Below are 27,153 nucleotides of genomic sequence, written 5' to 3' on the forward strand. Positions count from 1 at the left end.
CTTGAAGTGTTTAACGAACCCTATCATGTGGTACTATAATATTGGTTTACATCCCTTTTGGACTATGATTGCATTAACGTATGTTTTCCAGGGGTGGATATTTTTGAAAGGTGGCTGTTTATTAATGTTTTGTCATTTTCTTCATAAAGCTCAGTAATGTGCTGTAGCTGGCTGATTTAATCCATAAGGCACTTTCATATTCTGTTGCAGGTTTTAAACAGAAGTCAAATTGCTTTGTTACGTTTAGGTATAGAACAAAGGCATTATGTCATCCTACATGTGTATATTAATATATCCCACTGAGCTCAAGTAGTTAAAAAAAGAAAACAGTACTTAATTTATTTCCTTCCCTAGTATATGACCTCCAAAGGCAAACAGAAATCTTTAAAACCCACACACACCCACACTCTCAGACACACTACAGCAGTATATGAAAATCTGAAAAATCTATCCTATTTCAGCTCTGTTACTTTGTGTCTGAGCCTTCTTTTGTGTTGCTTCAACCCTTGCTCATACAGTAGTCTGTTATGATTTCACAGCAGAAGTGGGCTTAATTTTAAAAATCTGTTGTGTTAATGTTCTGAAATATTCACACCCCTAATTCTATAGGCAAATATTGGAAGACTAGTTTTATGCTGATTTTTCACAATCCCTAGGACGTAGAAGGCACTGCCATATGTTAGAGTAAGACGACTTATGATGGGAAATCGGTGGAGTGTTTTCAAGTAGGCCTGGCAGGATGAGAAAATCTTGTTAAAATTCAAAAATTGGATTGTTTGTTTTCACTTGCTCATGTGATTACTCTAATATGGCATAATCATAACTGAATTGCAACAACATGGCAGTCTGTTGGCTTATTTTTATTGCAGGCCTGTTGGCAGAGAGCTCTGTCCAATTGTTTATTGTTTCTACTCATTTTTAATCTTTTCTCATTTTAACCACCAATAAATTGGCACAGAGTAGGTAAATTTTGTTTCATGATATGTTAGGAAAATGTATAAATCGAAAACTTAATTTGAGGGGATCTGGATGTCTTCTGGAACTTTACTGTTTGAAAATAGTGTAGTTGCTGAGGATCCAAAACATACCTTTTTAGGAAAGCCTCAGGTTTCCAGAATTATATTCTAGAGATACTCTTTGAAATGTGTTTTGTGATTAGAAATTGTATCATTCCATCCATGGTCCATGTTTGTATAGAGTATGGAATGGGTGCAAGCGCTTCGTAGATAGCATCATAATTTTGAGATGTGTGATGGTGATGGAACACAGAGATATTCCTGAGATTCTATTTTACAAATTAGTATATTGAGGAGAAGAGTTTTCTAAATTTTACATGTTAGGGCCTCAGATCACACAATAAAATGAAAATATCCCAAGACTATAATCTGTATACCTTCCCATGATACTCAACCTCAGATAATCTCAGTTTAAAAGTCACAGAATGGTATAGAGGACTGAAATCCAGAAAGGCATTTTTCATATTAGGTTAACCAAGAGTCTTAACCGAGGCAGCTAACAATCAACTCAAATGACTAATTTGATTTTCTACTTCTCTTCCTTAATCAGAATTCTGATAGGGGGATTAATTAGCAATAAAGCAACATGAGAAAGAGGGAAAGAAAATGAGGGCATAGATAATCCACAAACTATATATAATCATCTCTGCATAATCAAAAGTTAACTGTCATTAACATGACATTTGCTTTTAAAGCCAGGCAGAAAATTATGATTTTTGGCACTAGCCTAATCTTTAATTATAGCACAGTACCATTCTTCTTTGTGTTAGTTCAGATAGCTATAAATTATATTAGTCTAGGGCTTTTGTGTCATTTCCTTTCCTTTTCCATGATTTATATAGTCAGAATACTGACCTATAATTAAGTGTACTTGAGAATGGTCTCCGGTTAATTAAATGCTCTGGAGTGTGTTTGGTGTGCTTTGCCAAAATTCCAAAGGAAAAGGCCATTCCTGGGTTAAATATCTATGAGGAGCCTGGATAAGTCTTCAGTGCCAGTCATATATGACTGTTGAAGCTGTCATGAGAAATAAAAATGAAACTTTTGTGACTATTGTCTGTAAAAGAATGTAACATTCATCTTTTTGTGTAATTTAAGAATATCACTTCAAAAAGTGATTGTCTCATATAAGGCATGTCCTAGTTTTTAATAACTGGTAAAGCAGAGTTATTACATGGAAACAAAAATTAAAGTCGTGTCTTCTTTCTTCTCTTTATTTTTGCTCTTTTATCTTTTCCTGTAACACATCTCCATTCTCTGCCAGAAACTAGTTGCTACTCAATTTGGTTCAATGTATGTTAGAGAATTCGCTTCTATGTGGAGTGCAGTATGCTGGAGAGGGGCCATCAACACACCCAGTTCTCTTGCATGAAGAGTCTACCCTGGTGCCAGAACCTGCCTTGACTCCAAAGATAAGTTGAGACTGTCCTACTTTATCTTACTTTTCATCCTTACTACCCTCTCCCAGCAACGCTTCCCCACCCACATGTACATATGTGCCAGATGACATAAAACTGCTTTCCATTCCAGATCCCAAGGCAAATCCTAGGGCCTGGACTGACTAAAGAGGAAGGCAGGGAAGCAAACAAGCAAAGCAGTAGCGTGCGATACGGGAAAGGCCCTCATTTTTCTGTGGTTTGGCTTAACAAAGGAAACTTCAGAACCGTTCAGGGAGATAGCATCAAAACATTTATTCAGGCTATTGCTCCTCACTGTTGGGGCATCCTTATGCAGCAGAGGACACACGCTGGCAGGTGGGTGGAGCGAGTTGGGCCCACAGATATTGTTTGGCATGCAGAGTTTTTTATTAAAAAAATGGGGCGACACTTTAAAAATAAAGAGATTTTAATCCCAAATCTAGATTTTTTGTTTCTTTTGAGAAATCCGGAAAAAACAAAAAATCTAGAAACAGGGTGTCTGTGTTCTCTGAGCTAAATCTGAGGAGACCGCACATGAGAAGGGTGACTGTATTTACTGATGACTCACTTGATTCAGTACATTTCTTCCTGGTCTCTGTATCGATTGGAATGTGTACCCCTATGCACACATGCGCACACACACTCTTAATGATTTGCATGGTGGTGGTGGTGATTGTTTGAGGGAGGGATGGAGAGCTTGAGAGGTGATCAAGGTTAACCTTGGCTGGGCCAATGGTAAGATGAAAGAAGGGAGTGTAAGGTAAGGTAGCCTTTCAGGTGTTAAGTTGAACCATATGAAATTGACACTTTTATATGTCAAAATCAATTGAACACTGGCAATTTTCTATCTACAATCTATTCCCTCCCACTTAAAAACATCTCCATGACGGCCCTAGAGTCTTTCGTTGTACTGTAGTTTGTTAGAGAACCGTATGTTTCCTTTCAGACTCCTAGGATTTCTGAGAGCCATGTTCCCATTTTAGGGAGTGTCTGTCCCCTTCATTCTGCCATAGATGTATTTTTTGTTTTCAGTCCAGTAGATATTCTGTTTCTCGTTAATTAAAAAATTTAATTTACAGACAGGTTCATTTTCTTTGTGATGCTTAGCTCCAGTAACTCCAAACCCAGAGAGACTATTATACATATAGTGGTGAAATATACACAACATAAAAATAGTTAAAATGGTAAATTTTAAATGGACAATTAAGTGGCATTAAGCACGCTCACAGTGTTGAACAACTATCACCACTGTCCATTTATAAAACTTTTCTATCCCAAACAGAAGCTGTGTACCCATTAAGTGAATCTACATTCTCCCCGCCCTCAGTCCCTGGTAATTTTCATTCTGTTCTTTGTCTCTATGAATTTGCCTATTCTAAGTACCTCATATAAGTAGAATCATACCATATTTGTCCTTTTGTATCTGGCTTATTTCACTTAGCATAATGTTTTCAAGGCTCATCAATGTTGTAGCATGTATCAAAGTTTTATTCCTTTTTAAGGCGAATAATATGCCATTTTTCACATTTATCACATTTTGTTCATTTGACTGTTAATGAACATTTAGTTTTTTGTTGTTGTTTTTTTTTTTAGACAGAGTCTCACTCTGTTCCCCAAGCTAGAGTGCATTGACGTGGTCTCAGCTCACTGCAACCTCCGCCTCCCAGGTTCAAGCGATTCCCCTGCCTCAGGCTCCTGAGTAGCTAGGATTACAGGCGTGCACCACGATATCTGGCTAATTGTTTGTATTTTTAGTAGAAACTGGGTTTCATTGTGTTGGCCAGGCTTCTCTCAAACTCCTGACCTCAAGTGATCTGAATGGGTGTTTAATTTGTTTCCACATTTTGTGAACAATGCTTCCGTGAACTTTTATGTACAGTGACTGTTTGAGTCCCTCCTTTCAATTCTTTCTAGCATATCTGTAGAAATGGAATGCTGGATCATGTGTTAATTCTATGTTTAACTTTTTGAGGAACTGTCAAATTGTTACATATTTTATAGAAGTGATAAATGCAGGCTGCATTATATAGTCTTTTTAAATCTAGGTACAGTACTTATTCTCTTGTATATTACAATAAAGCCAGGCTCTTCTTTTATTTTGCCATAGAAAATATTTGTTGGGTCAGAAAAAGGCAAACTCTTTTTAAATATTCTAGTCAAAGAGAGTTTCACTAGGGTCAAACTTTGATCAACACCATTGTTTTCCTTTTTCAAGCTCATATACAGCACATTTTGGTTTCAGATGAACTGTTCTGGTGATGAGTTTTTAAATTTTAATTCCTCTATGAAAACCATCACGCTGATGAGCATGTTCTTTGTAAAACTAACAATTACACTCTTCTGGGCTTCCATTGTTCCAATACTGGAAGTTAATTTGTTAGCACCCTATAATGCATTCTACATTGAAAGTGCCCTTATGTAATCATACATGAACATGTGTGGTATGACCATGACTACTAACATACATAACACTGAGAAGGAAGTTCTCAATACAATCTATATACACAAATAACGTGTTTTACCATACATCTCCTTATAAGCAAACGTCACTCATTTTGGATAAATTTTGTGATTCTAATCAAAACAATGTTCTCACTCATTTAAGCACTCTTTAATGTTATTATGTAAATGGGCTCTGGGGATGACTGTGTAGAGTTAAAGTAAGCTCTGAAACCCTTCACTATTTATTTCAGTAGAAAAGAAATGTCATTGTTGGCAGTAATCTAGACACGTCTCCTTTAAATGGTGGCGGTGGTCTGTGTCTGCATTCAAAGGTGTGGCACATCGTTTCATCTTTTCGTAGTACAAAAGGAGTTTCATTTAACAATTTCATACTGAATAGTTCTTTCTATTCAGCCATGGAAATAATGGGAGCAGCTCGGTGGGTGGGAATTTCTTCATGGGCTCAAAAAAGACTCAGGACTAAGATACAGGTCTGTGATGCTGGCGACGTAGAGAGGAGATTCAGTGTGGAAAGGGAGGAACGATGTCTTTTGTTTAAAGATAAAAATTAATTCTATTTCCTCTTTTTACAACAAGAGAAGGGGGGATAGGAAGGATTTCATACCATTTTAGTTTTAAAAATAGTCATTCAAGTGAACTGTCTGGCCAAGCAACAACTCAAATTTCCTCTCCATCCAATTCCTTTCCTATGTTTTTTCCTTGTCTTGCATCTCTATGGCAGTACTCCCCAGGGTACCCTCCTTTAGCTGGACCAAATTGAGTTCCTGTCCATGTGTGTTCTTAGAATAACCAGCCAATCTAACTTAGCACATGCGGAGGGAAAGGCATGGACCATAGACTCCCATTCTGCTGCTTGGCAGTGACAGGAAGTGGGGAAAGCATGAGCTCTGGAGTCATAAGGCTCAGGGATTGAGGTCGGCTTCAGTCCCTTACTGACGTTGTCAACTTAGGCAAGTCAGTTAACTTTTTGAAGTAGTAAGCTTTCCCATCTTATATATTCTTTGTGAAAAATATAGGAATTTAGGGAGAAAATGAGAACTGGGACCAGGGAGAGATAGTCAGTGAGGTAAATCCATCCCAGATAATTTCTAAAGAACTTTTAAGAACAGGGCCAACCAACATTAAATTTTGAATCGTTTACCATCCTATATTGAAATAGAACTCCCTTTCCATTACTATTAACTTGTAGGGGGAAATTTTTATTGTTATTGCTGATACTTTAATTTAGAATGGGGATGAGGTAAAGGAAAGGGGTTCCACTTTTGAACTAATAGAGACTGCAGAAAGGAATAGAAGGATGGAGGGTGGATAGGGAAATTCATCAGAATCAGAAAACTATAGTGATTATTAGGGAAATGGGGCCTTCCTTAGCATTCTTGGAGATATTGGACTAACTTTGGGTTGACAATTTTTACTACGTCTAAAGGATATTTTCAAAAAACGTAATTCTTAAATGATATTTTAATGCAAAAATGTGAGACAATCAGAATAAAAGGCAGTCTTTTTTTTTTTTTGAGACAGAGTCTCACTTCTTCACCCAGGCTGGAGTGCAATGGCACGATCTCGGCTCACTGCAACCTCCGCCTCCCTGGTTCAAGTGATTCTCCTGCCTCAGTCTCCCGAATAGCTGGGATTACAGGCACTTGCCAGCATGCCCGGCTCATTTTTGCATTTTTAGTAGAGACGGGGTTTCCCCACGTTGGCCAGGTTGGTCTCGAACTCCTTACCTTGTGATCCGCCCACCTCAGCCTCCCAAAGTTGCTGGGATTACAGGCATGAGCCACCGTGCCCAGATAAAAGGCAGTCTTTCAAACAGAATAAAATAGCTTTATGAAAAATTCACTACATTATCTTTGCCTCATTTTTCTGTGGACTGTAGAACACTTCATTCACTAACATTTTAGAATATTGAATCCAGATTCCATCTCCTCATAAAGCTAAGGATACCAATATCTATAGGAAGTAGCTTGCCCAATTTACAGTTAGGAGGCCAAAAACTTAAGCGTAAACTTAATCTTCTGAATTTGCAGTTCTCTTCTCACCTCATCAGATTTCCTCATGAGAAAGTGTTGCTAATCAGGATCCCAGGCTGAAAAATGTATTTTTCCCCTCAGAGGGAAGAAGTAGTTTCCACAGCACAGAAATGATTTGGCCATATTGATGTGAAAGGTTTCTTAGATATTTTTTGGTCCAATGGCCTGATTTCACACATGTTTTCATTTAAGTGTAGAAGAGTTAAGTGACTTGTTCAAGGTCACACCGCTATTATGCGGTAAAACTGGGACTGAAACCAGGTTTCATGGTTCCTGGTTCAACTAAAGATTCACTTATTTTAACACCTCCTGTATGCTGTCACTGCATTAGGTGTTGGGATATAAAAATAAACCAAAATAGCTCTGTAGCTGTGCTCATAATTGTTAGAATTGGGAGGATGGCATCATCTAGAAAGCAATAATTATAAAAGTATCAAATCTTAAATTTGAAATGGGCCTTAGGGTTTATTTACTCTAATTCATATGTAAGGAAATGAGGCCCTCATCTGAAGAGGTGGCTTGGGATGCACACAGACTCGAGTAATGTCGGTGTTAAGAGTCAACAAGACTTGATGGCTAACTAACCATGAAGTTTTAAAATAGAGAAATCAAAGATATATAGAGAATTAAGAACTTGAGCACAGAATGATGATAAGCATGAACCTAGGAGTTCTGTGCCTTTACTACCTAAGTGACCTTAGTCAAATCATATGACCTCAGTTTATTCATCTTTGTAGTCAAGTTCATTTCAATTCTGAGTATCAAATGGTATTATCTTTGTTAAATACGCACTATGTTGCCTGGCACATAATAAGGACTCAGTGAAGATTACTGTCAAGAGCATTAGTGGCATTGATAGAGAAAGAACTCCCCTAAACCAACATACCTCACTTTTTTTCTCTATTAACTTATGGATTCAATATCTGAATTCATAAGATTTCACAAAATCATCTAAAACCTGGCTCCATCATTTAGCTATTTTTTAATCTTCCTGTTATCTCATTTTAAAAGTATTAATAAAAATGTAAGAGAACCAAGGTAGATTTGGGCTATCTAAAGTTTTGGAAACGTCAATATTTGTAATAAGAATTGAATGAAAAATCCGTAGGAAGACCAGCTACCACAATCCAAAGAAAGACTGGCCACTGTGGATTCTGTGGCATAGTCCATGAACTCCTAGTGAATGACACCAAGACAGTTTCTTGACTTAGATTCCTAAATCAGACTATGTAAGGGATAATTTTGTTGGGGTAATCTTAATTGTTAGTACTATTTTGTAAAATACTTCCGAGTTTAGGGGGAGAAATAATAACCAAAAGCATCACATAAAACAAACTTCTATTTCCTTTTATTGCACTTGGTGAAGGTTATTAAGAATGTAATTCTTTCTGCTTGCAATGTGATTAGCAGCCAAATCTTTTGGGGGTAAATTTCCATTGCTACGCTCTTGTTATCGTAAATGGAATTTGCGTGCCTAATTCTCTTCCCTCCATATTGAATCCATACCCCTTTAGGTCTAACGGCATGCTAAAAAAGATTCCAAATCTCCAATGTTGATTGTGGGCCATATGTTAGCACTAATTATATAAATGAGACTTGGTAGAAATGTGACATGCTAAGCATTCTGAGCTTAAGGAATTACCTAAATGAATTCTAGCTTGAGTTAGTGCTAGCAGAGGCAAGGAAATGTGGGTGCAGGTTTTGAGCAGATGTTAACAGGTCTGTAAGCCTCTTCATTGTCTTTATTTGTCTAACTATAAGGACTACTGATGGAATATTGTGTCAGAATATTTTAAGGTGCCATTTTCCTGCAAATTGCATTTTGCACCTACAGATGGATCCATTTTCTGAATAAGCAGAGTGGAATGACAGAATATCAAAGATTAGAATCTGCAGTCTTCTGTGCATTTGAAAACTTAGCATTCAGTGAGGTCAATTGTCATGGTCATTATGTCATGGAGGCTGAAGACTTCTAGAAGGATATTTCAATATCAAACATTCTTGCATTTTAATTTTCAAAGTGAAAGTGAGGAGGGGAAAAAGAAAAATGGTTCCGATTCAGAGCAAGAGTGAATAATAATATTGTGAATAACACTGTCTCTGTATATAGTCATTCAGGAAAATATTGCCTTGTAATATATTAATGAAGTGACCAAGGGGGGTTTGGGACCCTGAATCCTGTCATGATTGAAGTCTGACTCATCCTCTTTACTGGATATTATGAAGCCCTAGACAGGACAATGATTGCCTGTTTCAAAGCCCATGGCAGACCTCACTTACATTCTTGTTTCTCTCACTCACGGGCTTCTTGAGGTTTATCTGTCTGGCCTTCTCATTTGTTCTCCATAGACATTGATCCCCTTGGGGATGTAAATTCTGCCTTTTCTTTCTGGGTCTCAAGCACAGAGTCCAGTGCTTGACACATAATAAACATTTGCCGTATGATTGTTGTTGAAAGCCTGGAAATAGCTAACATTGATAGAGGATTCAACTATGTATTCAATATTTGATTTGCATTATCTCATTTAATCCATACTGGCGTGTTCTTAGGCATTGCCTTTGTTGCTTTGCAGATGTGGAAACTAAGTCTAAGGGAGATTAACTAAATAATTTGTCTAAAATTACACAAGTAGAAGTAATAGAGCTAGAATTTAAACCTACAAATGCCTGACCCTGTGCCTGTCATTCAGTCATATAGAGTGTGGATTCTGTCCTTTAGACACTTAGGTGCCAAGTTGATTATCCTCAAATTTGGGTCTCTATATATTCTTGAGGACTGGTGAGTTTCCTCGGGTGACTTGCTTTGCATTTGTTTTTATTGAAATGGTATTCTAAGTAGAACAGGTACAAGCATATTCTTAACCATCTGGATGACCATATTGTGATGGTGTTTACTATGATGTTAGTGCCAACCAGTGTTACTTCAATGATAGAACATTATTCAGGGAGGAAGAGAGGCAAAGTAGATATGAAGATAATAGTTTTATGCCATTGAAGGTTCAGTAACATTAAGGGTTTGGAGGAGCTTAAACAGAGAAATTGGGAAAAAGTGCCCACAAAGCACAAAGCAATGATGAAGTGAAAATACACGTGTGTGAACATGTGCGCCCTTCCAGTTGGGAACATTCACATGGGGAACAGTGACCTAGTTTTTGGGAAACAGTGATATAGTTTTAATAAAACTAACATTATCTATTATGTTGAAGTTATGTGGTAAATTTAGTTTTTTATAGTCTTATGGGTTTGCTTTTCTTTGTAAACTTCTTTTGGTTTTATGGCCATAGTGCGCTTTAGACATAAAGAGTTTGCAATTTCATATTTGTGTATATTTATGTAAGAATAAGTCTGTCAAGATTTGGGAGAGAGCCATAATCTTTTTTTCTCTCCCTTTTAAAAGGATCTGTACACCCTTTGCCTACATCTGTCTTTGGCCATCACATGATCCTCAGGGACTGAAATGAAGCTAAGTCAGGATAACAGCAGTGTGTGAGAAGGCACACATGCACCTGCAAATGCCTGTGAGACATAAGTGATAGCAGTGGGAGTTTGAGGGGATGGTTGACTAGCATATCTTGGGGCCCACCTATTTAGCTCTTGATTCAAACAAGAATTCATGAAGCAGCTTGCCTCTCTCCTGTGATTCTTTCTCTGGGTGTCTTGTTTATCCAGTCCCTGTAGTACTGAAGAAAGATGACTTCTTTGAATGAACGTATTTCCAGAATCTTATCCTTGGCGATCCTCTTTGGCAAGAATTAAAAGGGAATTCCCTTGGCACATTTGATTGCTGAAGCATCTTTATATGCTGGCCTCCAGCCAACAGAGAGCAAACCTGAAATAGATGTATTTCTTGTTCTCCTTGACACCTTATGCAACTCCCTGAGGCATTACTTCTCTCTAAAGTCAGTGAGGCATCCACAGGGCTTAAGGATGGTGAACAACAAGGCCAATGCATCATAGTTAATATTTTGCTTTCAAACTGGTAAGTCTCCTCCAAAGTTTATCTACCACATGTTCTCTTTGGAATTCACTGACTCTAATGTCTCAAACTATCTTATAGTGTATTACTTAAGAATCGCTGGCCAGGCGCGGTGGCTCACGCCTGTAATCGCAGCACTTTGGGAGGCCGAGGCAGGCAGATCACGAGGTCAGGAGATCGAGATCATCCTGGCTAACACGGTGAAACCCTGTCTCTACTAAAAATACAGAAAATCAGCCAGGTGTGGTGGCAGCTGCCTGTAGTCCCAGCTACTCGGGAGACTGAGGAAGGAGAATGGCGTGAACCTGGAGGCAGAGCTTGCAGTGAGCCGAGGTCACACCACTGCACTCCAGCCTGGGGGACAAAATGAGACTCCATCTCAAAAAAAAAAAAAAAAAGAAATCACTGAAATTCAAGTATAGTTGATGGACAAATACAGTATTTTTCCAGAGTTGAGTTAATTTTTTTGAAACCCGAGCCAGTTCAGAGTGATAATTTTTTAACTAAATTCATTGCCTTTAGAAATTAGAAGGTGGTGGGAAGTTGGAGACAGCATTTAATGAAGAGTGCTGTTCTTTCTTTGCAAAATGTCTTGCAAATATGGTTGCCAAGTTATTTCTAATGCAGATGTTTCTACTATAACATAATGTGTGCTTAAAAAACCTAGAGTTCTAAAAAATGATACATTAATATTAGCAAGGCTTGGTCGGGTGTGGTGGCTCACATAGGTAATCCTGGCACTTTGGGAGGCTGAGGCAGGAGGATTACTTGAGCCCAGGAATTAGAGACCAGCTTAGGCAACATAGTGAGATCCTGTCTTTACAAAAAATAGATAAAACTTAGCCAGATGTGGTACACCTGTAGTCCCAGCTCCCAAGAAACTGAGGTGGGAAGATCATTTGAACCGGGAGGGTCAAGGCTGCAGTGAGCAATGACATTGCTCCTGCATTCCAGCCTGGGTGACAGGGTGAGACACTGTCAATCATAATAGTAATAATAGCAAGGCTCATGGAAAAAACAGAACAGACCACTCAAAAGATAGGCATGAATCTCAGCATGCATAAACCTAATTAAAAATTAGTGCCATTGAAAAGACATGCTGAATTTCTCATAAAAGTGCATTATATATAGGAAACGTGACCTTTGATAAAACTGAAGGTAATTTGATGGAAGGATTGAGGCTGCTGAGTTAGAGATAAGACTAAATGGGGAGAAGCATATGATGAGCTTTTCCAAGACAAGACATATGTCTACACTGAGCCAAGAGGAGAAACATGGGCAAATTATATAGAGTACATTCTCCCACAGCTTTCTGTACTAGAATATCTTGTGTTTATCTTCTATGTCTTACTGAAAAATATGAATGTACTGGGAAAAGTCATACGTGAACCTATATAATATCTTCCTTTACGATGACATCATTTCTCTGTTTACCAATCCTATCGTGTTAATTTGTGTTACAGATGCACATTTTATAGCAAAATAGGCTGAGTTTATCAGGACATTGGAAAAGGTAATTCACAAGATTAAATTTTGGATATTATGTGTGTTCAGAGGAGTGTTGTTTCATTTTGAGAAGTAGAACGTGTGTAAATCATGAAGTTGGGCTAAAGAAGGCTCAGGCTGTGAGCCAACGTCTCTTCCACTTCGTGGAAGCATGGACATCTTTTTTTATGGAGTTCCACGGGGATACATTTTTGCAGCTGCAAGGAAGGCTCGCAAGTACAGATGACCTTCAGTGACAGTGGTATGTGTCAAAGATTCTCCATCCACTCTGGTATGGTAAGAGTAGCATGATTGGTTTCCTTACCCTGGTAAAGCATGGTCTTTAGCCATAGTGTGCGAAGAAGGGAGGAACTCAGGTAAGGATACCGAGAAGACCAGATTCTCCAGTCAAATAGAGCTGCAATCAGGTCTCAACACTGCCATTTAGTAGCTCTGTGTGACTCTGGCCCAATTATTTAGAATCATTTTTTTCTCTTCATATCTGTAAAATATGTACCTCAGTAAGGTAGTTAAGAATAAGGCAAGGCTTGTAGTGCATGCTTAATGATGTTACCAATTTTTTTTTTTTCAGGAAGTGGCTATGTAAAGAACATATGTAGCTCTATGAGCTCTCTTTGCTCCATTTAGACAAGTACCTACTTGATAATGTCTTTGTCATAGTTCTGATAATCACATGAGCCTTTTCTGGCCAGGATTCAAGGCTCATTTCTCAGGCCAGGGGGCCTGGGGAATTGTGCTCAGATTACTTCAGACCATTGAAAGGGTCTTTGAGTAGGAAGCACTGGCAGCCTTGAAGATCTGAAGTCTCAGTGTACCCACTAGAGGAAGGCCAGGTATAGGTAGCACATCCCCCCTGCCCATGGTGATGGAAAAAGTCCAGGCAGAGGGGAGTCAGATGGAGATACAGGAAAAGAAATACACATATGACTGAAATTCTGGATTCAAGTTCTAGAACCTCCATTTCCTAGCTAGGTAACATTGTTTTCTTTTCACCTGCAAGAGGTGGAAAGTGAACCACACAGAGTGTGGATAAATAGAAGCTAAAAAGATGTTTGTTTATGCCCATCCTTTCTATCAAGTTCCTTTCTTTTAGGCTAGCAAACCTCTAGACCTTCTATTCATCCAGACTGAAAGACAATTGAAGAGGTAAAAATATTCTCATGTTGTGATTGAGTGTTATTTAATGGCCCATCCCTTCCCTACCTATTCCCCATGGAGAAGCTCTGTCTTAGTGGTTTGGATGTTTGTCCCCTCCGAATCTCATGTCGAGATGTTGGAGGTGGGCCTGGTGGGAGGGGATTGGATCGTGGGGGCAGATCCCTCATGAATGATTTAGCACTATCTTCTTGGTGATGAATGAGTTCTCACTAAGTTCATGTGAGATCTGGCGGGACCTCCCCCTTCTCCCTCTCTTGCTTCCCTTCTTGTCATGTGTGACGTGCCTGCTCCCTTTTGCTTTCTGCCATGATTGGAAGCATCCTGGGGCCCTCACCAGAAGCAGATTCCAGCACTGTGCTTCCTGTACAGCCTGTAGAACCATGACAATTATAATTTATTTAAAAATTATCCAGTTTTAGATGTTCCTTTATAGTGACACAGAAATGAACTGCTGTAATGAACCATTACAGTAGCTGTCTCTACTGCAGGGCAAGGTCAAAGGACATATTCTGTTCCTGCTGAAAGACCTGGGTCTTCTCAGCCCTGGTTACCATTTGACCCATGTCAGCATCTGCCTACCAACTTGGGAAACGTCACTGCACTTCCTACTCCCCGTCTTTTAGAACCAGAGCTTTCCAATGTCAAAGGTATTGGAGTATTTGCTGACCAGGCGTGAACAGTCATGATTCTCTTTCAGCTGTGTTGCAGATGGGAAAAAGTGTAACAGAAACACATATCTTTCCTGGTCAGAGCTGATGTAGACATCCCAAGGACCTCCTCTGAGACAGGAAAAAATATAATTACCCTTCCCCCCTGAACATATTGTACAAGTAGGTAGACCTTCAATTCGCCTACTAAGAAGAGGGTGCACGGTAAAATCGAAGATCAAATAGGAGGAAAGGGAAATTGTTAAAATAACTAACTTCATAGCAATTTAAGGTTTGTAATGTGATTTCACATTTACGTTTTTATGCTCTCCATAAGGATATATGTTGCATTAGAAAATTTAAAACAAAAAGTGACTATTAAATTTTGAGGCGAGAATATGTATTTCTTGAATCCTTTGATTGTATTGAAAACAAAATGTGACTATTTTGAGGTGAGAATATTACTTCTTGAATCCTTCAATTCTATCTAAAATGCATTCAGATCTTAGCATTCCTGGGATTCCCCTCTGTGCCGGACATTACGCTACAGTCTCTGAGAAAGGATAAAGTACTCTTTAATTCCAAAAGCTAGTTTATCAGTTGGTTGCTTTCTGAATGGTCACAAGATGAATTTGATTTGTTCCTTTACTTTTTCCTCCAATATCCGGCAACTGGGTTAAAAAAAAATACTAGCCTACATTGGCACTGGTAAGGAAACTGACACCGGATTCTCCAGCCAGTCATATTTTGTACCTTTGGATCACACCCAATAACAGAGGGAAGAGCGAAAGGACAGATTATAGCAGTTGCAACAATGTGTAACAAAAATATTGTGCCATTGAAATGTTAATGTAGGTGAGCATCACCTTGTAAAATTCATATTGTTAGAAAGCAAGCCTAATCACTTGAATCACAAAGACTGATTTTTATGGGAGACCTCTCATTTTATTCTTTAGGTATTTCATTTTCATTCTGTGTTTTCTTCGGAATTAATAGAGCCTCTTAAAAACTGCCGTCTATAAATTTTCTCTCCTACATATGTCTCGAAACAGTTTCATTTCTTCATTTAAAACATTACAGCCATTTCAAAATGCCCTATTTTGTATTTAATTTCACCATCTCATATAAAATACATGTTCTTCACATAATTATGTAAAAATGGGTTTGCAAATGCCCTAGAGATCCATATGATGGGGCACATTATAGGATTCTAAGTAATAATAATCTCCTGTTTACATGAGACCTGATTTTCATGCCAGTTTTTTACACTTTAATATATCCAGAACACAGCTTTGCTCAAATATGCTAGTTTTTTCTGGTTCAGGAAATGCATTTGAAATATCACAGATTAGCTTGCCTGGCAGAATGCACAGCTACATCTGATATTTTAGAGGTGAACATAACGGAGCCAGAGATGGGAACCATTGTTGTCATGTTTGCTATGTGCACAGCTAAACAACACCCAGCAGGGTTAGTGGAAGACCTAGGGTATAGGCAGGAGAAGAGGAAGCAGGAAAAGGAAAAAAAAAAAAAAGGTGATTTGGCAAGAGAAAGAGAGGATATCATATAAATATTATATAAGAGCTTGAACACACCAACTAATAAAAATAAAGCATAATGTAGTGCAGTAATTTTTCAAAGTGTGGTCCCTGGGCCAGCACCATCAACGTGCCTGGCATAGAAATGCAACTACCTCCACCCTGCTGAATCAAACAATGGTGGTGGGACACCCTGGAATCTGGTCAACACTTCTAGATGGTCTCAGGAGGGTTTTTCTGTGTGTCACCAAACCCAGTTGCAGGACTGGGAGAATTGGAGACCTGAAGGACAAGAAGAGCAGGGCAAGCTAGTAGGGATCTCTGGGAGTACTTCCCTCTGGAGAAAATGCTTTGAAAGTACTTTTTCAGTGAATTTTATGATGACAGGGCAGGGAGAGAAGCTTATCCTACAGAGGGCTTTATGTGCACACTCTTACCACTCAAGGAGGGGTGGTTGCATTTCCAACCAGGCTCCAAGTCATGGTGTTAGAAGTAGGCCAGACCTTTAGGAGGGGAGGCAGAAAGGAGGCTCCTTGTTAGAAGACACATCCCATGCAGAGGAGGAAAATCACAGTACTCTGAAGAACTGGATGTGAGTCAGTGCATCCAGAGCATGCAGAGAGGAGGGAGCCATGGCCAGAGAACAGGCCACGTGTGCAGTGCTGACAAGTTAGGCTTTGTCTTAGGGCATCGGACACTCCAGAGGAAGAGTGTTGTAATCCTGAGAGTGATGTGCTTAGGATCTGTGAGAATTACATGACTAGCTAAACGCTTGCTGAGAAGTGTCATAAGATTGGTGTTCCTAGTGACAAAGTTTTGGGTCCGATGACATATAAGATCAATAATGTCTTACATCCCTCTACTAGGCATCCATTGTGAGGCTCTGGGGCCTGTCTCTGGTACACTCACTCTAGAACACTAGTCCAAAAGGATGTGTCTATAGATATTTGAGAGAATAAAAATCATTTAGTTGATAGGAAACCAATGCCAATGACCCCCCAAAGGGGCACAAGATGCGAGAGGAGAGATGCTGCTCCTTTGGTCATTTAATCCCCACTCTTTTGGACAAAAATATATTCATGATAAACAATTTATTGATTAACCTTACAGGTAACACCAGTAGGGATTTGACTCACCTTTGTTTTCTTCTGGAGAATAGTTTCTGCAAATTTGGATTACAGGAAACGTAATACACCCTTGCTCTAATTATAGGAAACGTAATACACCCTTGCTCTATGCAGTGCATTGCAAATTGCCCTGTATTCAAGTGATTATTGCAATCTTTTACTATCTGTTCAGCTAGATGCAAACAATTAAAATAGCTTTCTCCATAACTTTTCTTTTTTTGAAAGTAACATTTGCAGCTGGGTGCAGTGGCTCATGCTATAATCCTAGCACTTTGGGAAGCTAAGATGGAAGGATCCTTTGAGCCAAGAGTTCAAGGCCAGTCTGGGTAACATAGTGAGACCCTGTCTATTTAAACAAAACAAACAAACAAACAAAAAGTAACATTTGTTTTTTTTTAGTGAATTAAATTTACACAATTAATGATTAGTGAGATGTAGTCTAACAAATATTTTCTTTTTATATTAATTGAAGGAATTTACCCCCAACTTTTATACCACCCACCCAATGAAATACACATTATCTGAGATTTTAAACTTGTTTTTGACCCTCTCAAAAATTCTTTTCTAGGTTTTCCTTTACTAAAATGTATTCTACTCTCTGCTAATGGCGCTCCCCCCATCCCCCACTACCTGCACTCCGGCGCTAACTGCTTACCATGACTTAACCCTTTGTCTAGTTCGAATGGCCTCTCCTTCAAGTCCTAGAAGGAAAAGACCACATGGGCTTTACTCACTCTCAGTCTCTATCTAGCTTGGTGCGTGGCACAGCAGGTGCTCAGTAAACATTCATTAAACCAATTAATTGCCACTGAAGACTGCTGCTGCTTTGTGTACCTGCTTTTCAAAGCTCTCGCTCCCCCATTATCTCCTGTCACCCTCTTTTTTTCTCCCTTTCCCTGATAGATTCATTACAAAAACATCAAACCCAATCCTCAATTTCCCTAAATTGTCTATGTAACTCATTGAATTTAAGGTTGTTACCTTAAAAGGTAACAACCCCCAACAGTAAAACTGGTATTTTTTTTGTTTGTTTGTTTTGTTTTGTTTTTTCTTTTGCCTCAGAAGCTGCATAATTTCAGGGTATAACATAGTTCGCAAAGCATATTAAGTATGAAAGAATATTTATATAGTATAGCCTATTGAAACTACTCATTGTGGCCAAAAAACCCTTTGCTTGTTTAGTATTAAATGAACTCCATTTAGCTGTTATATCTTCTAGGGAGAGCTAGTAGAGAGCTGGAGCTGGGGTTTGGGGGCATATAGATGCACGTAGATAAAAGAGTTCATGGACAGGGTTTCATGAAATTTGAATGTGAAGTGGTATTATGCATCTCTTTCATTTAAATAACCTAAAATGAGTAATTCACTCCCTAGAACATTTGATAAAAATCCTTGGAAGTTTGCCAGCAGGCACGGTGGGAGGAAGAAATGCATATTCAAAAGGAGATCAGAAAAAAAAGAAATGAAAATTAGGAAGCAAAAACCTGAAAAAGCAATCTATACCTGATTTATTTTCTAAAATAAATGGAAACATCTTGGTTAGAATTGCTTTAAAGAACCAGGGCCTCACTTAGTACCCCTGAGCAATGCAGTCTTCTGGAAACACTAGTGCATTTAAGAAAGGACTGAGCACTTTCTTACATTGTGTTCACCTCAGGCGACAGATCCCATGAACTCAAAGCTTGGCTCTGGAGTGTCAAAACACCTACCTGCAATGGTTATCGTTGCCATAGAGATAACTGGATGATAGATAGCTAGATGATAGATAGACACTGAATAGATAGTAGATAAATGATCTCATATGTCAGAAGAGGCCTTTGTGCCTAGGAAATTACAGATTTTTTTTCAAAAACAATTCTTCTGTCAAATCAAAAATAGAACTCTCTTTACTCCCACCTCATATACGTTCCCCTACTCTTCCAAAGCTTTTTCTTATCACATTTATGGTGTGCCGTGCCCATTCAACTCCTACTTGACTTCTTGTCCAGGAGGTTAACTTTCTTCAAAGGCTTGGATATGACCAGTGCTAGAGGGCAAAACAGTGGACACAGGACCACTAGGGTTTCTTTATTTTACAGTAAATCGAGCTTTGTTTGTTCTTACTTTCTTTTCTGAGCGCTCAGATGAGTTTTGTCTCTTTGTCCTTTTCCTTACTGTTTACTTGTTTCTTCCTTTCTCTCTTTCTCCTTATTTTCCTGCTTCTCCCTATTCTTTTTCCCATATGTGTCTGACTTTCCTGCCTCATTGTTTTCTGTTCCTGCTCTTTTTATGGGTACCTCTGGGAATTATAGAAATTCTAACACTCCTGCCAGATTGTGAGGCCACTCAATTCTTGAAACAACAATAGACAATTTCAGCAAATACATATACATGTTTTATAAAATGATGGTGAGGTGTAGGACCTTGAAAAACCCACCTCAAAATTCATCATGTGTCCACTGGTGTGGATAATAGGAAAGGACTTTGTAGAATTAGTGGGTAAGAATGGGGGCTGAGTTCTATTACTTCCTCTGCAGTGCAAGCTGACAGCCTGAAAAAATCAGACTTAAGCAGCAGCTGAGTCCTACATGGGAAATTACAACAAAATCAGAAGTCAAGGTCTGAGTCCTCTTTAGAAAAAGTATAGAATAAATTTAATCCCCTTATCTTACAGATTTAAAAGTTGGGGTGCCGAGAACTTGTGATTCACTGAAAGTTTTATAAATAGCAATTCCATCAATCTAGAACCTGGGGATATTGACTTGTAATCAAGTGACTATTTAGGTTCACCCCATTACAGAAAGGTGTGAGAGACAATAGAGAGGGAGAGAAGGGGGTGGAGTCATTATTGCTAATGGATTTAGTAGTAGAATTTGGGGTTCTTTCCCCAAGCTGAAGGAAAGTAGAGAAAGGAAGCAGTTCTAAGATAAGAATAAGATGGAAAAGTTCCTTTGACTCCCTCATAAGACTTGCAAAAAGGGTGTGACTCCTTTACCTGGCTGCCAGGAGCTCAAACTCCTTGCAGGAGTGGGGAGCATGCAGGTGAGTGGTTGCAGGAGCCAGGGGAGTGTTTTGGGGCTCTGGCCCGACGACAGTATCTAGGGGTGTGTTACAGATAATGCTCTTCTAGCAGTTGCTGTCCATGGACTGCTAAGTGTTAACCAGCTCAATGGAGAGTCAGGGTGGCAGCCTTTTACATCCTGCCCTCTTGGTACCCAGGTTCTTTTTTGGCAGTCAGGACAAATTGGGTCGCATGAAGGGTTTGAATGGTGATGAATGCGGAGGATTTTATTAAGTGGAGGATTTTATGAAGCAGCAGAAGTGGCTCTCAGCAGAAGGGGAGCTGGAAAGGGGATGGTGTAAGAAGAAGGTAAAGCCCAGCTGTCTCTAGCCAGGCTCCTCTCTGAAGTCATGCCATCTGAAGTTAAGCTGCGTCTGTCTGTAGTCTCCAACACTCAGTTGTTTCTCCTCTTAACAATCAGCCACTTGTCTCTTTGCCAGCTGAGGTCTGGGGTTTATATAAACACAGCACAGGGGTGGGGCAGGCCAAAAAAGGCAACATTTGGGTGGGAAAACGGGGATAACTGTTCCCATTTAGGGCTGTGGTTTCCAGGTTTGAGGGTGGGGCCTTTGCCAGGGAACCACACTCTTCTATCCAGTATTTTCCTCCCTCCTGTCCATATCAACAGCGTAGGGGCCAAGAGAAAGTTTCCCCTTTGTCCTCTGAGGCTTTGCTGAAAATCACCTGACAAAAGGCAGATTAATAGGAGAAAAGGCATATAAAATTTTATTTCCATGTGGAATCCCAGGGAAAATGATTACCCTAATGTGCGCAAGCTTATATGCCCTTTTTTTTAGGGGGTGGAAGGGAGCTGGGGATGTTAACAATTTTTTTCGGGAGCAATAAGTCATCAGGGAGAATAAATGTACCTGGAGGTGGGAGGCAGACCTTAGGGAAGGCGGGGAGTGGAGCTGCACAGGAATAAAGGTGGTCGTCTTATGTAGATCAAGCCCCCTGGCCGATCTCTTAGTGTTGCCCTCGGAAGAATAGGTAAAATATCTCTCTGGGCATAGGGATGACATCCAGTCTCCTCTTCTCTTGAGGCTGACCTGGAATCTTTCTTGGTTATTTGATGAAATTCCTAGGGAGGGAGTCTTGAAACAGTTGCACTCAGGCTGTCTTCGTCAGATTAGGAAATTCAGAGAGTCCCTGATCTCTGAATTGAGGGGTTGGGTTGGACAGCGGGGTTAGAAAGATGAGAGAGAAACCTTGGTTCTGAGGCTCATTTCTGAGCCTTTCCATTTTCAAAGTACTGAGAATACTGAAGTACTACATTTTGGGTAATCATTTTCTGTGCTTCAACAAGACAGACATTGAAGTTCACTCTGAGGAGGATGAGAGAAGGGGACAATGAAGATAATAATCAGAAACATTTCCAGGTCTCAGTTTTCTCATTTGTCAAATGTGTATAATAATATCTTCATCATGAATGAGAATGTTATTTAGAGAGCTTAATATATACCATGTACTCAACAAATAGTAACTAATGCTGTTTTGGATTTGTGACTGAACTCTTTGTAACCACCCTCATATGAACAATACTCATGTATCAATGGTCTGGAGTTGCTGGGGCTGATTTTTTATACTTTGAAGGTGAGTGAAGTACAAACATTCTGCCTGGCTCTGAAACCAGGATCTGAAACCTGGTCTCAAGCTGTGTGTCTCTTGTTATAATCCCAGACACATTTGTGGCTTGAAACTGTACTCTGGGAAGGTAATACATAGATGTGTTGACTATTTGCCAAAAATGACTAAACAGGGTCACATGTATGAAATTACCTATAATTTTGTCTCAAGTCTAATGAAGACTGGTATATTGGATCTTCTTAACATTGTAGTGACTGATCATGGTCATAGGTCATACAAAGGCTTAGGAAGTGAACTTAAGTCAACTTCCCCAGGAAACAGACTGTCCGCTAGATATTTGTACACAGGAAGGTTATTGGAAAGTTCCTTGGGTTCTATGCCTGTAAGGGAACGAGGAAAGCTGGACCAGAGAGAAGGAGGAATTCATACAGTTGCAACAGCCAGTACAGTTATGGGCCAATCCCTCTGAGTTACGGAGTCGAGATGCTATTTTGAATTGTTCAGAATTGAGGCAAAGGGGTGATCCTCTGTATTTCGTACCAATCAACTATTAGATGCTGGCTGCCCCTGGAGAGGAGTAATATTGAACAAGGTGATGTCTTCTGAGGGCAATTGCCAGAGAGGGCCTTCACCAAGAGCTATGAGCAGACAACATTCCAGCAGGGCTAATGAGTGCCTCACTTCTGAAGTGGAATCTGGACAAAGCACCACAGAATCCAACACAGAAGCCCTAGTTGTTTCCAAATATATTCTAGCAGCCTGGAAAGTGCTGCTTTGCTGTTCTCAGGATACTGTGAGACCTAGAATGACCCCCAAAGTATTTTGTCCTTCCCTAGGAAATGTAAAACCAGACCTTCAAGTTTTAACAAAAATCATTATTTTATAAATATTATTGAGGGGTCTTACTTGGAACCCTAGCTGACGACAGCCCATAAGAGTTGTCAGTCTGTGGAAGTGGAGAGACGTCAAATGTTCTCCCAGTTTGCTTTACTGTTCTTTTGGGAGAGTGACCAAAGAAAAAGATCCAGTGTACACAACCAGAATTGTGAAGAAGAAGAAAAGATTGTTCTCAGTAAAGCTATGATTATTTACAGAATTTGAAAAATCAACATTGTTATCCAGATGCTTTGAGCCTTAAAACTATTAGTCTATCATTTTGAATATTTGGAGGTTTCAAGCAAAGTTCTTTGCCAATTATTAGCATTTTCAGGTAACTTACTCAAATTTGACCTCAACTGTGTTCAACCAGCTGTCAGAAAAGGACAGTCAGTATAAAATGTGGCTGCCTATGATGCAGGCAGAGTTAGATCCCGTTAGAAAAGAGTGGGTAGGCAGGGCAAAAAGTGATCATATCTCCAGTATAATCACAGCAGTTCTTATTCCCATAATACGGTATTTATACCACACAGATAACATAGGTGTATATAACTCCAAGATAATAGTAAAATACAACCAACAGTTAGCAAATAGGAGTTTTGAGAATGTATTGACTTTTTCTTAGCATAATTTAATTGTAAGTTGATAATTTTTATTGGTGACTGTGTTTAACAACCTGCTCACCAAAATCCTAAAAATTTAACATCTGGCTCTTGTGAACCCAGACAAGCCAGGTTCAACACACTCCAGCAGGGCTCTTGGAGCCCTAGATCAGCAGCTTTTGATAGTTAGATTTTTGAACTCTCAAAGGATAACAGGGAGGCATTCAACTGTTGGACGTGTTAAAAAATCACAGAATCTGAGGAAGACCTGAAGCTTCCTGAGCTGCTCAGGTTTTTTTTTTTTTTTTTTTTTTTTTTTTTTTTTTAGCTGTCATGGAGCCCTCAGGGAACTTTAGAACTAATAGTTTACTCAAAACTCATTCTCCTTATATGCCCTCTAATAAAGGCAAGGAGAAAACTGTTCTTTCTGTTCTTAATTAGTCATTTGGTTCCCAGACGTCTGCCAAAGCAACTATAAAGGCAATTTAATTAAAACAAAAAAACAGAGCCATTAAAATTCTCTCACACCCTGATTTTTAGAAATGCCTGCTGCTCTCTTTAGGTTTCCCTTTTTCCTTTTCATTCACTGTTTAGGAATTTATCTGTGCTTTCTTTCAGACTGACTGTAGTCAGCGCTAGTTTGCACATAATGAGGGGTAAACCTCATGGAGGTAACCACTCTGAGAAGCAGAGAACTAAAGCATGTGTTTAATTAAATAGAAGTTATAGAGTCCTGGAGTTTGTAAAATTTTAGATTTGTTAATCAGATGTTTCTTGATGTCTGATGAGATAAGTCTTTGGCCATGAAAATAATATGACAACATAGCCACTGTCTTAGATTTGCAGTTGAGATTTTTCATGTCTTTTCTAGTAGTATTTTAGTCAAACACGTGAAACAGGAAATTTTCCCTGACTCCTTCATGGGCCTCATGACAGGAGTGCCTTGCTTACTCAGCCCGCAGCTCTCAAACCCTTGTGGGAGGGGGATCACACAGGTGAGCCGGTGCAGGAGGCAGGGCAAGTGCTTCTGAGCATCAGCAGGAGCAAAACTCAATGCAGGCCCCACAGTAGCTTCTGGAAAGGGAGTACCAGCAATCCCTGAAGCCCCAGAGGGCATGCGTTACAGTGCGCTCTTTTAGCTCTGGCATCCATATGGACAGCTTAAGTGGTAAACAGCTGAGTGGGCCCTCTGCCTTTTCATGTGAGGCAGTTGCTCTCTGCCAGCAAGGGCAGAGGGTCAGTGTGACAGCCTTTAGCATCTGCACATGTAGCCCCTGAGCTCTTTTTCTGTGTCCAGGAAAAATCAGGTCACATGAATGAATTGAAGGGTGGTTACTGAGGAGGATTTTATTGCCAATGGAAGTGGCTCTCAGTGGGAAGGGGAGCTGGAAAGGGGATGGAGCAGGAAGGTATTCTTCTCCTGAAGTCCCACCATCAAGCCATCCCTCTGGAGTCAAACTTCTCTCCGGTGTTCAGCTGCTGCTTCTCTTCTCCCCTTCTCTGCTCTCTGCCAGTGAAACACAGGGTTTTTTATCGATATAGCATGGAGTGGGGCGGGGTAGGCCAGGAGTAGTTTTGGAAAAAGCAGCATTCTAGTGGGAAGATGGGGATGTAAAGTTCTCACATGGGGCTGAGGTTCCAGGCTTGAGGGTGTGGCCTTTGCCAGGGACACTGCCCTTTTCCGTCTAGAATTCCTCTGCCTCCTGGCCCTATCACATGTGGCTGAGATTAAAACAAAATGAAAAGCCAGAGGATAATTGACAGTGTGATCTTTCCTTGATGTTCCACAAAAAAGAAAAGAGAGGAAGGGAGGCTACAAGCAAAGAACAAGGGGAATGAGGCAGGAAGGAGAAGCACCTAATCTAAGCACTTTGTTTATAGTCATCTTATTTAATGTTCACAAGAACCCTAGAAAATTGACATTATTATCTTTACATTTTAAGACATAGTTGTTCAGAGAAGCTTGGAGACTTATTCGAGATCTCTCAGTTAATCATTGGATTTAGGATTTGGGTTCAAGTCCATCCAATCCCAAGACAGTGGCTAATCCTTGAAATAAGTGGTACAAAGACTGAACTATCAATAAATTGCAGCAGGGGAAAAGATGGAACTGAACATGTGGAGACCTCCTCCTCTTCTAGTTTCTCCTATAATGTTCTTTCCCTTTCAGGTTCTACCTCCTGATAGTTATAATGGGATTATGGCCTTATATTTTGAGGAAAAACCTCTAATACTTAAATTGGAGTTTTTAGGGCACACATCTTTGAATATCAGATGGTTGCCTTTAAAATGTTATTTGATAATGTATCTTATGAAATTGGTGTATTCTATGAATATATGTACTACCTGCTTAAAGTAAGTTATGCAGCACAGTGACTTTTATAAATGTTGAGATGTGTTTCTTGGAAAAACATTTTGTTTCCTAGGAAAAGAAAATCTCACTGAAAATATTTTCTCCCAACCTATGATGAGCTCCATTCTTTTCAATTGAGCAGACATCCTGCCAGTTTGTGAGAGTGTGTGCCTGTGGGTACTCAGATCTTTGTATGCATACTTGGGCTAAGAGGCAGAGTAAGGCAGAGGAAGTGGTGACAAGAGACAATGTGGAAAGTGGAAAATTGTGAACACCTTCCAGGTATGCTAAATTGAAATATGTGATCTATTCCTTCTGATTAAAACAAAACCAGAATAAAATGCTGTGAATGGAATGATTTAACACCTGGCAAGGTAGCTACAACCATACGTTGTGTAAAGGAAGAGAAAATTGTAATTGCCAGTTGAGAATTGAGCCTTTGGATTTTTTTTTTTTTTAACTTTGGTGTGTCGCATTGACACTTTCCTTTTTTAAAAAAGTAAATCTTAGAATAAGATGTATGATTTCTGGCAGAGTATCTCTTGACATCCACATAAAAATGTTTGGTAGGATTGGGAACAATGACTAGGAATGACAGAATGGAAAAGAACAGGTTGTGAAATCTTGAGGGTAACTAGTGGCGGGGCCTGTGAGAGGGGCCTGTGACAGGGGCCAGGAATTAACCTCTCAAGTCTATTTTCTTATTTGTCAAATTTCTTTAATGCAGTCTGTTTTGATAAAACTATTAAATAAGAGACTTGAGAAAGCATTTTTGAAAACTGAAAAGAACTGTTCTGTCATTATAAGTTACTTTGCTATTATAATTATTAATGATAAATAGGAATCTAGAATTCGATTGCAAATTTTAGTTGAGACACCAAAGAGATTCTGTTGTTCAATTAAAAAAATAAATATTTATTGAACATCTACTGTGCCAGGTACCCTGCTAGAATAGTTATACGGTAGTTCTAATTTTTCCACCTTTTTCCAGACCAAGAATAAATATGCAAATATTGTGCAATGAATAACTGGAAGTAACATTCACATTTTCACTGAAATCTCCCTAACAGACTAACGGCTTCATCACTCAGCTTCATGGATATGAACTGATGCTGAAATTGATAAATCACATTACAATTGGCTGTTCTCTGTATCTGAGAGAGTTTGTAAAAGCAGAATTAATGTTTTTAGATCAAGCAATCCTCTACTAATAATGGTAATAACTCTTTATCTATGGAAGGAATCATATGAGACTTTCCAGGTTGTTCAGACAGATGAATTCAGCGAACCTTGCCACACTGTGGGGAGGGAGGGCGGGGCATGGAGTTCTGACGGTCCAGTTATCTCAGAGTATTGGAAGTGATGGATCAACTCAGAACAGGGAATTAATGTCATAGGAAACTGAGGCTCCAAAACACCATTGGACAATTGGCAAAGCCGATGACTAAAATGGATTAATTTGGTTTATCTCCATTTAATCTAGGCTTGAGAACACCCTGTACATCTGTACATAATGTCTATAAAAACAAAGCATTTTGGTTTTCTTATAAGTGCGTACGTGAGAAAAATAGCCATACAAACCTTAGTGTTCCCTTTGGGTGTCTTTTTTTTTTTTTTTTTTTTTTTTTTTTGAGACAGAGTCTTGCTCTGTCGCCCAGGCTAGAGTGCAATGGCGCTATCATGGCTCACTGCAAGCTCCGCCTCCCAGGTTCATGCCATTCTCCTTCCTCAGCCTCCCAAGTAGCTGGGACTACAGGTGCCCGCCACCACACCTGGCTGATTTTTTCTATTTTTAGTAGAGACGGGGTTTCAC

The 27,153-nt window shown here is 39.4% G+C and overlaps 1 protein-coding gene across 1 annotated transcript in view, besides 2 other annotated features; it reads left to right on the forward strand.

Annotated features, from left to right (window-relative positions):
- Positions 1 to 27,153, forward strand: part of RARB (retinoic acid receptor beta) — a 768,612-nt gene that overhangs the window by 105,656 nt on the left and 635,803 nt on the right. The window lies entirely within an intron of this gene.
- Positions 17,318 to 17,906: an enhancer, noted in NCBI's record as "OCT4-NANOG hESC enhancer chr3:24993785-24994373 (GRCh37/hg19 assembly coordinates)". NCBI's record gives its function as "activates a minimal SCP1, AML or CMV promoter by ChIP-STARR-seq in naive H9 embryonic stem cells {active_cell/tissue: H9 hESC(naive)}" and the evidence as "EXISTENCE:reporter gene assay evidence [ECO:0000049][PMID:30033119]".
- Positions 19,820 to 19,994: a silencer, noted in NCBI's record as "fragment chr3:24996287-24996461 (GRCh37/hg19 assembly coordinates)". NCBI's record gives its function as "represses an EF-1alpha promoter that drives an FKBP-Casp9 reporter gene in an ReSE screen in HepG2 liver carcinoma cells {active_cell/tissue: HepG2}" and the evidence as "EXISTENCE:reporter gene assay evidence [ECO:0000049][PMID:32094911]".

Source organism: Homo sapiens, chromosome 3, assembly GCF_000001405.40.
Source record: "Homo sapiens chromosome 3, GRCh38.p14 Primary Assembly".
NCBI classification, from domain to species: domain Eukaryota; kingdom Metazoa; phylum Chordata; class Mammalia; order Primates; family Hominidae; genus Homo; species Homo sapiens.